This window comes from Homo sapiens, chromosome 16 (assembly GCF_000001405.40).
Source record: "Homo sapiens chromosome 16, GRCh38.p14 Primary Assembly".
Lineage (NCBI taxonomy): Eukaryota > Metazoa > Chordata > Mammalia > Primates > Hominidae > Homo > Homo sapiens.
The window spans coordinates 11,390,962-11,403,205 of record NC_000016.10 but is presented as its reverse complement, the minus strand read 5'-3'; the positions used below and the strand labels follow the sequence as shown (position 1 = coordinate 11,403,205).

Here is a 12,244-nt window from a genome sequence, read left to right as displayed (position 1 = left end):
GGGTGCCCTTTGTACAGAGCTCACAGGTCACCAGCGTGCACAGGGGCCTCGGGCAGCCTCCTGCTGTGGGGTCTGGGAAAGCAGGGCTGCTCAGGGGCCTCAGGAGATGGGGTCAAGTGATGTCGGAGGTCAGGTCAGCTTGACTCACCTGGGGGACAGAGGAAGAAAACCCGGGGTGTGGAGGCCATCTGTTGTTGCGAGGACTCAGCTATGGGGTGTCACCTGTCACATCCAAGATGGAAGGAGAGCACAGGACAGCAGACGGTGGCATGGGGTGTGGGGCTTCCGAGGGGGCACAGGGCACCTGTGCATGTGAGGCCCCCGAGAGGGATGCAGGTTGTTGAGGTTGCGGCTGCCCCCATCAGCTCCTGATTCAGGATGGTAACAAAGTATTCCGAAACTCAGCGGCATAAAGCAAGCGTGGCGCCTTGCTCACGAGGCTGTGGGTCACCTGGGCAGCTTTTCTGGTCTTCCTCATGTTCAAGGTCAGCTGTAGGGTGAGCGGGCGGCTCCGCTGGCCTTGGCTGGGCTCTCCAGCCTGCTCAGGGGCTGGCTAGCTGTCAGCTGCGCTAGGACATCCTGAGCTGAAAGCAGGCTCTCCCCAACCCCACGTGGCACCAGCCCACAGGCCAGCAGGGTTTGTTCTCATGTGGCTGGACAGGGGTTCAAGGGAGGAAGCGGGGTGAGGCCTCCTAAGGCCTGGGCTTAGAACTGGCACTCGGTCAACTTTGCTGAATTTTATTAGCACGTCACGAGGCCAGCCCAGCTTCAAGGGCTGGGGAGGCAGACGCCACCTCTTGGAGGAGCCTCAGAGTCTCATTGTAACGGGGCTCCCACAGGGACAGTGCAGGGTGTCGAGTGGTAATGGTGACAAAGCGAGTGTGTAGCTTCTGAGTTTTGTGAAAATTATCTGGCTGTGTGGCCCCCGAGTGGCCATTTGCGTGAGCTGGCAGTGGCGTCAGTTGAGTCCCCTGAACCCCCTTGGGCCTGGAGCTGCTGACCTCAGCTCACGTGCCCTACCCTTTGTGTGTGTCCTCACCCACCCAGTGGAGCTCACCCACCCGCTGCCCCTCCCCCTGCCGCGACACTGCAGCCTCCGCCTGTCCTCAGAGCATTTGGGAGGCAGCCACCGGGATGGCCTGGTTGTCGGCTGGGATGGCAGGGACCAGGTAAGTGTCAGGGCCGGAAGGTGACCCTGGGGCAGAGCTGAACTCCACCCTGCAGGCTGAGCGGGGTCTTTGGGGCCCTCCCCTGCCTGAGGAGCCTTATCTGGGGTCAATGAGGCTGTACCACATCCCCAAGGGACTGTGGGAAAGGCACTGGGGGGGCAGCAGGAGACCTGGGTCCCCACAACACCTTGACAGCCACGGCAGTGACGGTGGCTCACAGGCCCTGAATGCTTACCCCGTGATAGGTTCTGTGCGTGAAGCCACACATCAGCCTCCCATCTGCTCGGCGCTATTAATGGGCCCGTGTTCAGATGACGAAATTGAAGCACTTAGAGGTGCAGTGACCTGCCCGGGGCCACAGAGCTAAGGGAAGACAGTGGAGGAGGAGCGCGACCTCCAGTCCCATCTCTGTCCTGTGTTCGCTCCATCTGCTCCTCTCTAAGCCTGGATTTCCTCCTCTGTGAAATGGACTGAGCTCTCCGAGGGCCTTGCACAGGGATGGGGTTTTGTGCTGAAAGCCACCTGCCCTTTTGCAGCCTTGACCTCGATGGAGAAGGTGGTCTGTGCGGGTGGGAAAGAGGTGCAGTCTGTCTGGGCAAGGCCACTGGCTGAGTCTGTCTCCCTCCCTAGGTGCTGGTCTCCTCCTCCCTGTGGCTGGGGAAGAGTGAGCTGGCCGCCCGCCTGGCCCTGGCTCACCCATTCAACCTCCCTTGGCGGCAAGCCGAGGCCAGTGGCCTTGCTGAGAGCAGGGGTGGCAGGCAGAGCCGGCAGGTGAGTGAGGATGTCCCAGGCGCCCTTGGCCGGGGCTGGAGGTGGGAGCCGCGTGACTGAGCCTGTGGGGCTGGGCACCTCTGGTAGGAGAAGGAGAGTGTGTTCATCAGTGACAAAGACTTCTCCGGAATCACAGCTTCCTGAAGCCTGGGGATCTCTGGGATCCTTCATTCAATCATTCCTTTATCAATACCTCATTGAGCACCTACTGTATACCAGGCGGTGTTTGAAGATAGCTCACATTTTAATGTGGGAAACAGGTACAGGCGTCTCTGATTGATCATTTATAGTTGCTTGTTTAGTGGTAGCTTTGGGGACTGAGTGAGGCAGCTGGGCTCCCTGTCTGGCTGGGGGGCCTCGGGTGTGTCCTATCGCCTCTCTGAGACTCAGGTTTTCCCATCTATGAAAGGGAGGACAACAGGCCAGCTGTGTGCAGGCAAAAGACGCTCTCCAGAATTCAAGCCAAGGAATGAATTAAAAAATCAGAAGGTGTGATATGATAAGCACTGTAAAGTAGTAAAGAGGGGCCGGACGTGGTGGCTCATGCCTGTAATCCCAGCACTGAGGGAGGCCGAGGCCAGTGGATCACTTGAGGCCAAGAATTTGAGACCAGCCTGGCCAACATGGCGAAATCCTGTCTCTACTAAAAATATAAAAATTAGCTGGGTGTGGTGGTGTGTGCCTGCAATCCCAACTGCTTGGGAGGCTGAGGCGGGAGGATCGTTTGAGCCCTGGAGGTGGAGGTTGCAGTGAGCCAAGATCACGCCACTGCACTCCAGCCTGGTAACAGAGTGAGACAGTCTCAGAAGAAAAAAAGAAAAAAAAAAGATGTGAGACTGAGCGTGACTGGGTGGGTGGGTGGGGCAGCAACTGTAAGGTGGGTGGTCAGTGAGAGCCTCATGGGGGAGGCGGCCCCGGGATGGGAAGGAGCCGGGCTTGAGAGAAGCTGGAGGAGCAGCACTGCAGGCAACAGGAAAAGCCCGTGCAAAGGCCCTGTGGTGGGAATGAGCCGGGTGCTTTGGGGAGGGCTGGAAGGGAAATAAGATGGGAACAGAGTGACTGGGAGGGATGGGTGACAGGGAGATGAGGTCAGATGGGCAGGGACAGATCATGCTGGCCCTGGAGGCCCCAGTGAGGAGCACGGTTGCTTTCTGTCTTTGGAAATGCTGAGTCTGGGTGTTGGGGATGAGGCTTTTTTTTTTTTTCATTTAAATGCTTTCAGTCTCCAGCCTGGGAATGGCTCTGAGCTCTTCCAGAGATGGGGGTAGGCAGGGCAGTCTCTCCACCCTCCATCCTAGTTCCTCTAGGGATATCTGGGGGAGGGGCACCAGCTTCTCCATCCTCCCTAGCCTCTCATTTCCCAACAGAGATGGCTGTGGGGACACCGTTAACCTCTCCTCTCCCCTACATGTCCCCCTTTCCCCACCACTGCCCTCCCATCCCAATGCAGGTGCAGCTCACCTGGAACAGAGGACAACCTGCGACGCTGCAGCTCACCTGGGCTGACGGGTCCTTAGCACACAGCACCGCCTGGGACGGCTGCCTGGCCGCCTCCCCGGGGCAGGTATGTGGGGCCTGACCGCTGCACCGAGTGAGGGGGTCCCCCTCGCTCCAGGCTTCTCAGCTGGCCCCCCAGGTCATGTACCCTATTCTCTTCCCTATCAGCTCCAGGAAACCTGGGGCCTGAACAGCCTCCAGGCCTGCGGGGCCTTCACGCAGACCCCAGCTGTGTTCGTTGAACAGCTCAACGTGTCCTGGGGCCAGCACCGCATGCGGCAGAACTTGACCTACGAGGTGAGGTCAGGGGAGCAGCGTCTGGGCAGGGAACCCCCAGGCGGCTCCACCTGCCACAGGAGCGTCCAGCTCTGGGGCCACGTGGTCCTGGGTTCCAGTGCTTGCGGGATCCTGGGCAACTTACTTCTCTGCTGTGAGCCTTAGTGTTCTCATCTGTGAAATGGTTCCCTTCCTAACTGGGATGTGGTGAGGGCTCTGGAAGACAAGAAAAGCAAGGGGAACGGCCCGAGATGCTGGGAACAGATGGGGAAGAAGGTGGGATGCTAGGGGGCTTCTCGGGAGGGGGCGGAGGGAGATCGGGAGCTCCGGTTCCCCGAGGCATCAGGTCTGGTCTCCTCCAGCATCATTACCTGATAGGGCTCCTCATGGGGCCGAGCACTGTTCTGCAGAGCTTGGGGCAGGAACCAGGCCATGGAGAAATGGGGAGAGCTGGCCCTGGAAGCCCCTTCCTCCTCTGGACCTCCCGCCTGGGTTCCTGGGGCTCTTAGGCATGGCCCCCTAAGTGCTCACAGCAGAAATCCTGCCACGAGCGGGGCATGGCGAATCACACCTGTAATCCCAGCACTTTGGAAGGCTGAGGTGGGGGGATCACCTGATCGCCTGGCCAACATGGCGAAACCCCATCTCTACTAAAGAATTAAAAAAAAAACTGGGCGTGGTGGCATGCACCTGTAATCCTAGCTATTTGGGAGGCTGAGGTGGGAGAATCGCTTGAACCTGGGAGGTAGAGGTTGCAGTGAGTCTAGATCATGCCACTGTACTCCAGCCTGGGCTATAGAGCAAGAGTGTCTCAAAAAAAAAAAAATCCTGCCGCAGAGTGTAAGGGGGTGCTGTGGCTGATGAGAGCTCTGACGGCACATTCCTGGCACATGCTCTTGCCTAGGTGAGGGTCTCCAACTGCAGCTGGCCATGGGCATTCTCTTAGGTGATGAGCCCCTGACCCATAGGCCCTCTCATTCCAGAGGCATTGGCCATCTCAGCCAGACAAGATCATCATGGAGGCCACGCTGGAGCACGTCCTCGGGGCCTCTTGTACCCGTCAGAGCTTCTGGGGAGAAGTACAGACTGACTATGCACGCTGGCTGCGGCACTCCCTCCACCTGGGGCTCTGTGACCTGCCCAGGGTGAGTCTGCCCTGCAGAAGGGGGCAGCTGGAGGACCAGGGACCCATGGTGAGGGGGCAGCAGTGAGGGTGGTGCCCGCAGAATGCAGGGGTGTGAGCGAGGCAGCCAGACGCCACCATCGTGGCTCTGCCATTTGCCTGCTGGGTGACTGGGCAGTGCACATCTCCTCTCTGAGCCTCTGGTGTTTCATCTGAGGAAGGAGCAGCAGGTTCCAGGACGTAGAGTGATGGTGAGACTTAAGAGAGACATGATGCGGGAATGCTCAGCCTTGGTGCCGGGCACATGAGTTAGAGCTGCTGTAGTCATCATTACCCCAGAGGAGAGGTGTTAGGACTCCTTTTCCTCAACCCCTTTCCCCTCCTGGGGTTGGTAGCTGGTTGATTGGTTCTTCCATCCACCAACCCATCCATCCATTCCTTTACGCATCCTTCCATCCTCCTTCCTATCTTCCATCCATCCCCGTATATCTGCCCTCCCATGTACCCTCTCTCTCCATCCATTCATCCTCCAACCGTTCCTCCCTTGCATCCATTCATCCGTCCGTCCATCCCTCCCTCCCTCCCTCCCTCCCTCCATCCCTCCCTCCCTCCATCCCTCCCTCCCTCCATCCCAAGGACTCATACTCTTCTGTAAAGAGACAGATAGCATATATTTTAGGCTTTATGAACCATCCAGTCTCTGTTCCAACAACCAACTTTACCACTGTCTTGTGAAAGCAGCTATAGACAATATGTAAATGAATCCTTACGGCTGTATTCCAGTAAAAGTATTTACAAGCCGGGTGCGGTGGCTCACGCCTGTAATCCCACCACTTTGGGAGGCCGATGCAGGCAGATCACGAGGTCAGGAGATCGAGACCATCCTGGCTAACATGGTGAAACCTCTTCTCTACTAAAAATAGAAAAAATGAGCTGGGCACGGTGGCACGTGCCTGTAGTCCTAGCTACTCAGGAGGCTGAGGTAGGAGAATCGCTTGAACCTGGGAGGCGGAGGTTGCAGTGAGCTGAGATCGTGCCATTGTACTCCAGCCTGGCGACAGAGCATAACTCTGTCTCAAAATAAAAAGCATTTACAAGAGTGGGCAGTGAGCCAGATTCGGCCCCAAACCATAGTTTCCCACCCCTTATCTTTTCCTCTGTTCATTCAGAAAACATTTGTGTGTTTCACCTATGCCAGGCTGTGTTCTAGGTGCAGGGAGTGGATGTGAAAGACACAGCCTAGGTGCCGGCCTCCTGGGTGGCGCATTCCAGTGGGGCCAGGACGATACAACAAACTAGAGATGCATGGTCTATGGTCAGGGTGTAGTAAACGTTGTGCAGGAATGAAGCAGAGAGGGGCCAGGGTGTTGCAAAAAGGGGCCTCACTGGTGAGTGTGAGCCCTGCAGAGGGAAGGGGCCTAAGGCACAACTCTGCCTTGAGGAACACGGGGCAGCACTTACGGAGGGAGCAAGGGAAGTGAGGTTGGGACAACAAAGCAGGCCACGGGCCATGCCAGAGCCCAGCTTCTTAGGGGACGGCATCTGATTTGCGTTTCTTAGAGGTCAGCTGTGAGCTGCGACAGGTGTGGAGGCTGGGAGGTGGCAGCTGCTGCTGCATTCTCGGTGCAGGGGACTGGGGAGAGAGGAAGCTGCCACCCCTGTGCCTGCCTGACACCTAGACTCTCTCGTCCCAGGCCCTCTTGGTCGTCGGGGAGCACACCCTGGGCCAGGGTGGACTCCTGCTGCGTTCCCGCTGCCACCTGGGCCTTGCACCAGACCCAGACCACGGCCTGCATCTCAGCCTGACCCTCCAAAACCACAGCAGGCCTCGTTCAGCTGACTTCTCCGGGGCACTGGAGGTCAGTGGCCAGGATGGGGCTGACAGTCCCTGGGAAAGATATCCCGGCATCCCTGCGGTTCCTCCCTGGCCAGCAGGCCCCCAACTGCCTGGGCGGCCCCGCCATCTAGTGGCTATCTGAGGAACTGCAAACCAGCATTCTGGATGGGGCCAGAGCTTCATTCTGGGTCGGGGGAACGCCTGCTGAACCCCAGGCCTGGCCCTGGCGCCAAGACAAGGCAGCTCCTCCACAGTCCCAACACCCGGCCCTTCCTATAACAGAGAGGCAGTGGCTGGGCTGCCCAAGTTTGAATCCCAGCCTAGCTGCCTCCTGGTACCTGAGTTTCCTCCCCTGTAAAATGGGTATAATTGTACTGGCCCTATCTCCCATGGGGTTAATATTGCAAGGGTTAAATATAGTCGTAGGCATAGATCGCTTAGAGCAGTGCCTGAGAGAAAACAGCCACTACGTAAGTATTTGCTATTAGCCATTACTGGTACCATCTCCTCCCCCTCCTTACTCCCAGCAGCCCTGGGAAGTAGGAAGGGGCAGAGTTGGCCTCCAATACCTACTCTGCCCTGACCTGGCCAGGTGATCCCAGGAAGGAACCTCTCTGAGCATGTGTTTCCTCATCTGTAGGAGGGGATCAGATATTTCACAGGGTGGTTTTTGGGAGTCTGGATACCGGTTCCCGCTGCCTGCGTAGCCAAGGCACGTGACGTAGCAGGTGCTCTCTCGGCGTTTCCATCCACCTCCTCTGTCTCCCTGGCCAGGTGAACTTGGCCTCGTGACTTTCGTTTGCTGAGCCTCAGTCTTCCCCTCTGTCAAATGGGAACAAATACCATCTCCCTTGCAGAATGGTTAGGAGCAAACACATTTGTACAACATCTGCATGTAGCAGGTGCTTGTGAGAGGGGAGTTCCCTCCCTTCCCGGCATCCGAGCTGAATGAGGATGGCATTTCTGGGTTGAGAGTTCAGCAGCCGTGGCCATTTCAAAGGAGTTTCTCCTTCCAAGGTTCTTGTTCTCCGGGACTGACTGTCACTTCCCCGTTTCCAGCCAGGCCCCTGCCTGCCCCCGGCTCTGTAAGCCCCGTGCCTGATGGAACTGGAGCCCTGGGAGTGAACCCATGGCGGATGCTCGGCAAGAGGCTGGTCCTCTTGCTTCCCTATCCCCGATTTATTTGGGACAGCTATTCTCACTTGGTCCATTCTGGGGTCTGTGGAGTGGTCAGAAGGCTTTCCCAGCCTTGTTTCTTGCTCACCCCAACCCAGTGGCCCCAGGACAGATGAGGGACAGATTCAGGGAGGTCAGGCATTCACCCAGGCTACACAGAGGCAGGCATGGCCCTTGCTCTTCAGTGACACCCAGCGGGGCTGAGCTCAGATGCTGGGAGCCATCCAGGGCCAACTCCGTGTGGTCTGCAGACCGTCCCCTGCCCCCACCTGCCTGGCAAGATCACATTGTGCTTGGTTAAATTCCACAGGAGTCCTGGGCTGTAGCCCTATTACCAACTTGGATCTCCTCAGAGATCGACATGCTTCTGCATGTTTAGTAAGCACCCTGCATTCGATTCCTAGGACTACTGTATTAAATTGCCACCAACTGGAAGGCTTAATGCAACAGACAGGTATGGTGTCACAGTTCTAGAGGCCAGAAGTCCAAAAGCAAGTTGTCAGCAGGGCCACACTCCCTCTCAAAGTCCTAGGGAAGATCCTTCTGTAGCACCTCCAGCTTCTGGTGGTTGCCAGGACCCACGGCTGTGGTGGCATCACACCAGTCTCTGCCTCTGTCCCACGTGGTGGCCTTCTGCCTTCTGGGTGGCATCTTCACATGGTCTTCTCACAGGGACAGCATTCATTGGGTGTGTGGCCTACCTTCATCCACTATGGCCTCAACTTGATTACTTTTGCAAAAAACCTATTTCCGAATAACACCACGTTCACAGGTATAGAAGGTTAGGGCTTCAACCTATCTGAGGAACAAAATTCAACCCTTAACAGACATACGTGCACGCGCACACACACTCTTAAGTCCTGTTAAGTTTTGTGAACCATTGTTCTGTATCATTTTACAGATCTTGGAGCTGAGGCCCAGAGAGGGTGACACCCTTACTGAAGGGTGCACAGCTTGTTAGCTGCAGTGTCTGGACTAGAATACAGGGTAGCTGAGGCTCCCTCCCCTGCAGGGCCTCCTCCGGGCTTGTGTTCTCTTGGGGGCCTCTGAGCCTCTTTCCCACCCCATTCTAGACTCGCCTGTCCTGGTCCCTGCCGTGCCCCCAAGGCTGGGCACCTGCAGGGACTTAGGTAAGCTGCCCAGTGCCTGGGGTGTTATGCCAGGTGTGCCCGTGTCTCCTTGCTTAGACCTTTGCAGTGGTTCCCATGCAAACTCGGAAAGCCTGGGCTGTAGCAGAAACACCAGGGCACTGGGGATGTTAGAAATGCCAGGGCCCGGGGCCCCCAACACCAATTAAATCAGAGTGTCTGGGTGGGGCCTGGGCAGCAGCCATCTCTAAGCCACCCTGTGGGCGGCTGCTGCTGGGTTGGGCTCCTAGATGGGTATTTTTAAAAATTAAAAAAAGTATTTGTCATGAGACTGGCTAAGTTTTGTATTTTTGGTAGAGACAGGGTTTTTGCCATGTGGTCCAGGCTAGTCTGAAACTCCTGGGCTCAAGCGATCCACCCGTCTTGGCCTCCTGAAGTGCTGGGATTATAGGAGTGAGCCCTTGATCCTGGCCCGGAGTATTTTCAAAAGTGCTTTCTGTAATGGGGCACTGGCAGCCTTAGACAGGGATATGGCGTGGGGAACCTGGTGCCCTGGAGATCGGGCGTGGGCATTGTGCCTTCCCTTGGTTCCCTACAGGTCCAACAGCAGCCTCCCCAGCCAGCCTCTTCCTGAGCCTGGGGCGGGCAGGGGAGAGACCAGGGACAGGTGGGCCAGGCTCCACTCAGGCCTCTGCCTTCCCCCTCCCAGCTTCGTGGCTCCAAGGCTCAGCGGGTTGGCCTACTGGGCCGTGTCTCCACCTCGACTTCTCAAAGCCTGGTCCGGTTGGAGGGAAGCGTGGACAACAGAGAGGAGAAAGTGAGGCTGTCTGTGTTCCGGGCCCCAAGCTGTCTGCAGGCCTCTGTGGCCCATGAGGAGGGTGAGTGGCAGCTGGGTCCCAGCTCAGCTAGCTGGGCCACGGCCCCTGTTGGCTCAAGAAAGGACGGGGGTCTGGGCGTTAAGATTTCAGAAGTCGGGGCTGGGTGCAGGGGCTCATACCTGTAATCCTAGCACTTTGGGAGGCCGAGATGGGTGAATTGCTTGAGCTCAGGAGTTCAGGACCAGCCTGGGCAACATAGTGAGACCCCGTCTCTACTTAAAAAAAAGGGGGGGGGGTGGCCAGGCGTGGTGGCTCACACCTGTAATCCCAGCACTTTGGGAGGCCGAGGTGGGTGGATCACAAGGTCAGGAGATCGAGACCATCCTGGCTAACACGGTGAAACCCCATCTCTACTAAAAATAGAAAAAAGTAGCCGGGCACAGTAGCGGGTGCCTGTAGTTCCCAGCTACTCAGGAGGCTGAGGCAGGAGAATGGCGTGAACCCGGGAAGCGGAGCTTGCAGTGAGCCGAGATCGTGTCACCACACACCAGCCTAGGCGACAGAGCGAGACTCTGTCTCAAAAAGTAAAACAAAAACAAAAACGAAAAAACCTGGTGGGGTAGGGGGTGATGTGTTCCTGTGGTCTCAGCTGCTGGGAGTGAGCTGTGATCCAGCCACTGTACTCCTGCCTTGGTGTCTCAAAAAAAAACCTCAGGAAACCCCCTGAAGCCTTATGGCATCCCTAACTGACTGCCGTGTCGGGGGAGGGGACAGAAGAGGGGGCTTCAGGTGGCTCAGGTGGTTGCTCTAGGTGGTGCAGCTCAAGGTTCTCAAATCCTAGGGCCTTGAGGCTTGGCCTGGGGCAGTGGGGAGCTACGGAAAGCGGTGGAGGGGGAGTGGGCAGCCAGAGACATGGTGGGGGCACCAGCAGGTCCCTTTCTGGCTCCAGGGGGCAGAGAGGAGAGTGTGGTGCTGCGGGCATGTGCCCATGGGCGGACAGCCGAGGCGGAGGTCCTGTTCCGGGATGGCAGGCAGCCCTCCCAGCCGCTGGGACGCCTGACCCTGCAGGCTGCCAACCAGAGTCTCCTGCTGGCCGCGCGCGGCTGCCAGGGGGGCCTGCTGGGCCATGTGGAGGTGAGAGGGCCTGGGCTGGGACACAGGGAAGGGGTTACCGTTCTCCCACTGGGCAGAGGCCCCCGTGCCAGGAGCCCCGAGCCCTTGGGGTCCAGCTGTGCCCAGAAACCAGGGCAGACAACCCCATTGTGAGGCCCACACCTGCTGCTGGCACCGAGAACCTTGTGTCTACTTCATTCCTGCGAGGCCCCAGCCTCTTCCTCTGTCCTCACAGTCCAGGATTGCAGCAGTTGGCTCCCAGGTGCAAGCCCGGCTGGAAGAGAAGGTTCAAGGCTTGGGTGCCTCTGTGAGAAGGTTCCAGCAATTGGTGGGTATCACAGCAGGGGAGGGTGGGGGCTCAGGTTGGAGAGGTCCCCCTCTGACCTGGCTTGTAGCCCCCACTCACCAGGCAGGAGGGTCTGGGGCTCTCTCTGCCCTGGACCTCACCCTGATTCTGCCTCGGTTTCCCTGTCCAGGTGCAGCCGGCAGGCACCCTGGACGGCGTGGCAGGCCTCCTTCTGCAGCTGTCCCAGGCGGGGCGGGAGGCCATGCAGGCGAGTGGTTGGGCAGTAGCCACTTTGTGGGCCCGGAGCCAGGCACTGACCCAGCACCTGCCTCTTTACCTGGAGTGGCTGCAGGTGGGGCTGGAGCAGCTGCGGGAGGAGCTGGAATGTAAGTGTGGGAGGGGGAGGGCTCAATCCTGTGCGGAAATCAATGTCCCCCCTCTCCACCGGGGCCCTAAGCGCTCACATTGGCCTGTGGCACTGTTTCAATCAGAAATGTGGCCTCGCTTCCCATGGGCCTGTAGCCCAGCTGTGTTTAGCCCCCTGCCTTATTTGTTATAGATCTACAGCCTTTGTTTTTTCTGGGTCTGCTGTGTCATTTTTACAGAGTCTCCAAGCTCATCTCCCTTATGCCTGCTGCCTAGGTTTTTTCAGTCTCCCGCCTGCTTTCTTTTGAGTATACAGCCTTGTTTCTGTGAAGCTCACTGCCACAGCATCTCTTTCTGGTTCCACGATGAGCTCAATGTGGCCAGGTGGTCATTAAAGGCTCACACCTGCTGCCCCAACCAGCCTCGTGGCAGGACTGGGAACCTCTGGCCTCTCCGCCATCCAGGGCTAATGCCCAGCACAGCACAGAGCCCCCAAGGCCCTGCCCAGCGCCAGGGTGGGCATCCCTCTGACTGGCTGTTGAATGTTACCTCCCGATCCTCCCTGCTGTGCCAGAGTGTTCCTGTGACCACCCCCAGGGCAGTGAATCAGGAGGAATGCGCCAGGACTCCGCCCAGCGCTATTCACAGCTGTGATTTATTATAGTGAGGGGATGCAGGAGTGTCAGCACAGGGAAGGGGGCTGGGGCGGAGTCTAGGGAGAACC

The 12,244-nt window shown here is 57.9% G+C and overlaps 1 protein-coding gene and 1 long non-coding RNA gene across 6 annotated transcripts in view; one reads left to right on the top strand and one right to left on the bottom strand.

Moving 5' to 3' along the window:
- LOC400499 (putative uncharacterized protein) overlaps positions 1-12,244 on the top strand; it is a 155,563-nt gene that overhangs the window by 124,372 nt on the left and 18,947 nt on the right. For all 4 annotated transcript variants that reach the window (NM_001395505.1, NM_001370704.1, XM_017023946.1 and 1 more), the window contains 10 exons: positions 1,048-1,169; positions 1,800-1,940; positions 3,391-3,504; positions 3,606-3,734; positions 4,697-4,858; positions 6,531-6,695; positions 9,647-9,815; positions 10,705-10,889; positions 11,104-11,196; positions 11,345-11,540. In NM_001395505.1, the coding sequence (NP_001382434.1) occupies positions 1,048-1,169; positions 1,800-1,940; positions 3,391-3,504; positions 3,606-3,734; positions 4,697-4,858; positions 6,531-6,695; positions 9,647-9,815; positions 10,705-10,889; positions 11,104-11,196; positions 11,345-11,540 (1,476 nt within the window). The remainder of the gene's footprint in view (positions 1-1,047; positions 1,170-1,799; positions 1,941-3,390; positions 3,505-3,605; positions 3,735-4,696; positions 4,859-6,530; positions 6,696-9,646; positions 9,816-10,704; positions 10,890-11,103; positions 11,197-11,344; positions 11,541-12,244) is intronic.
- LOC105371082 (uncharacterized) overlaps positions 7,416-12,244 on the bottom strand; it is a 146,190-nt gene continuing 141,361 nt past the window's right edge. The window contains exon 3 of one of the 2 annotated variants that reach the window (XR_933075.3): positions 7,416-7,495. This is a non-coding gene — a long non-coding RNA (uncharacterized LOC105371082). Of the gene's footprint in view, positions 7,496-7,842; positions 8,649-12,244 lie in introns of those variants that run through there. The other variant, XR_933074.3, reaches the window with a different exon arrangement.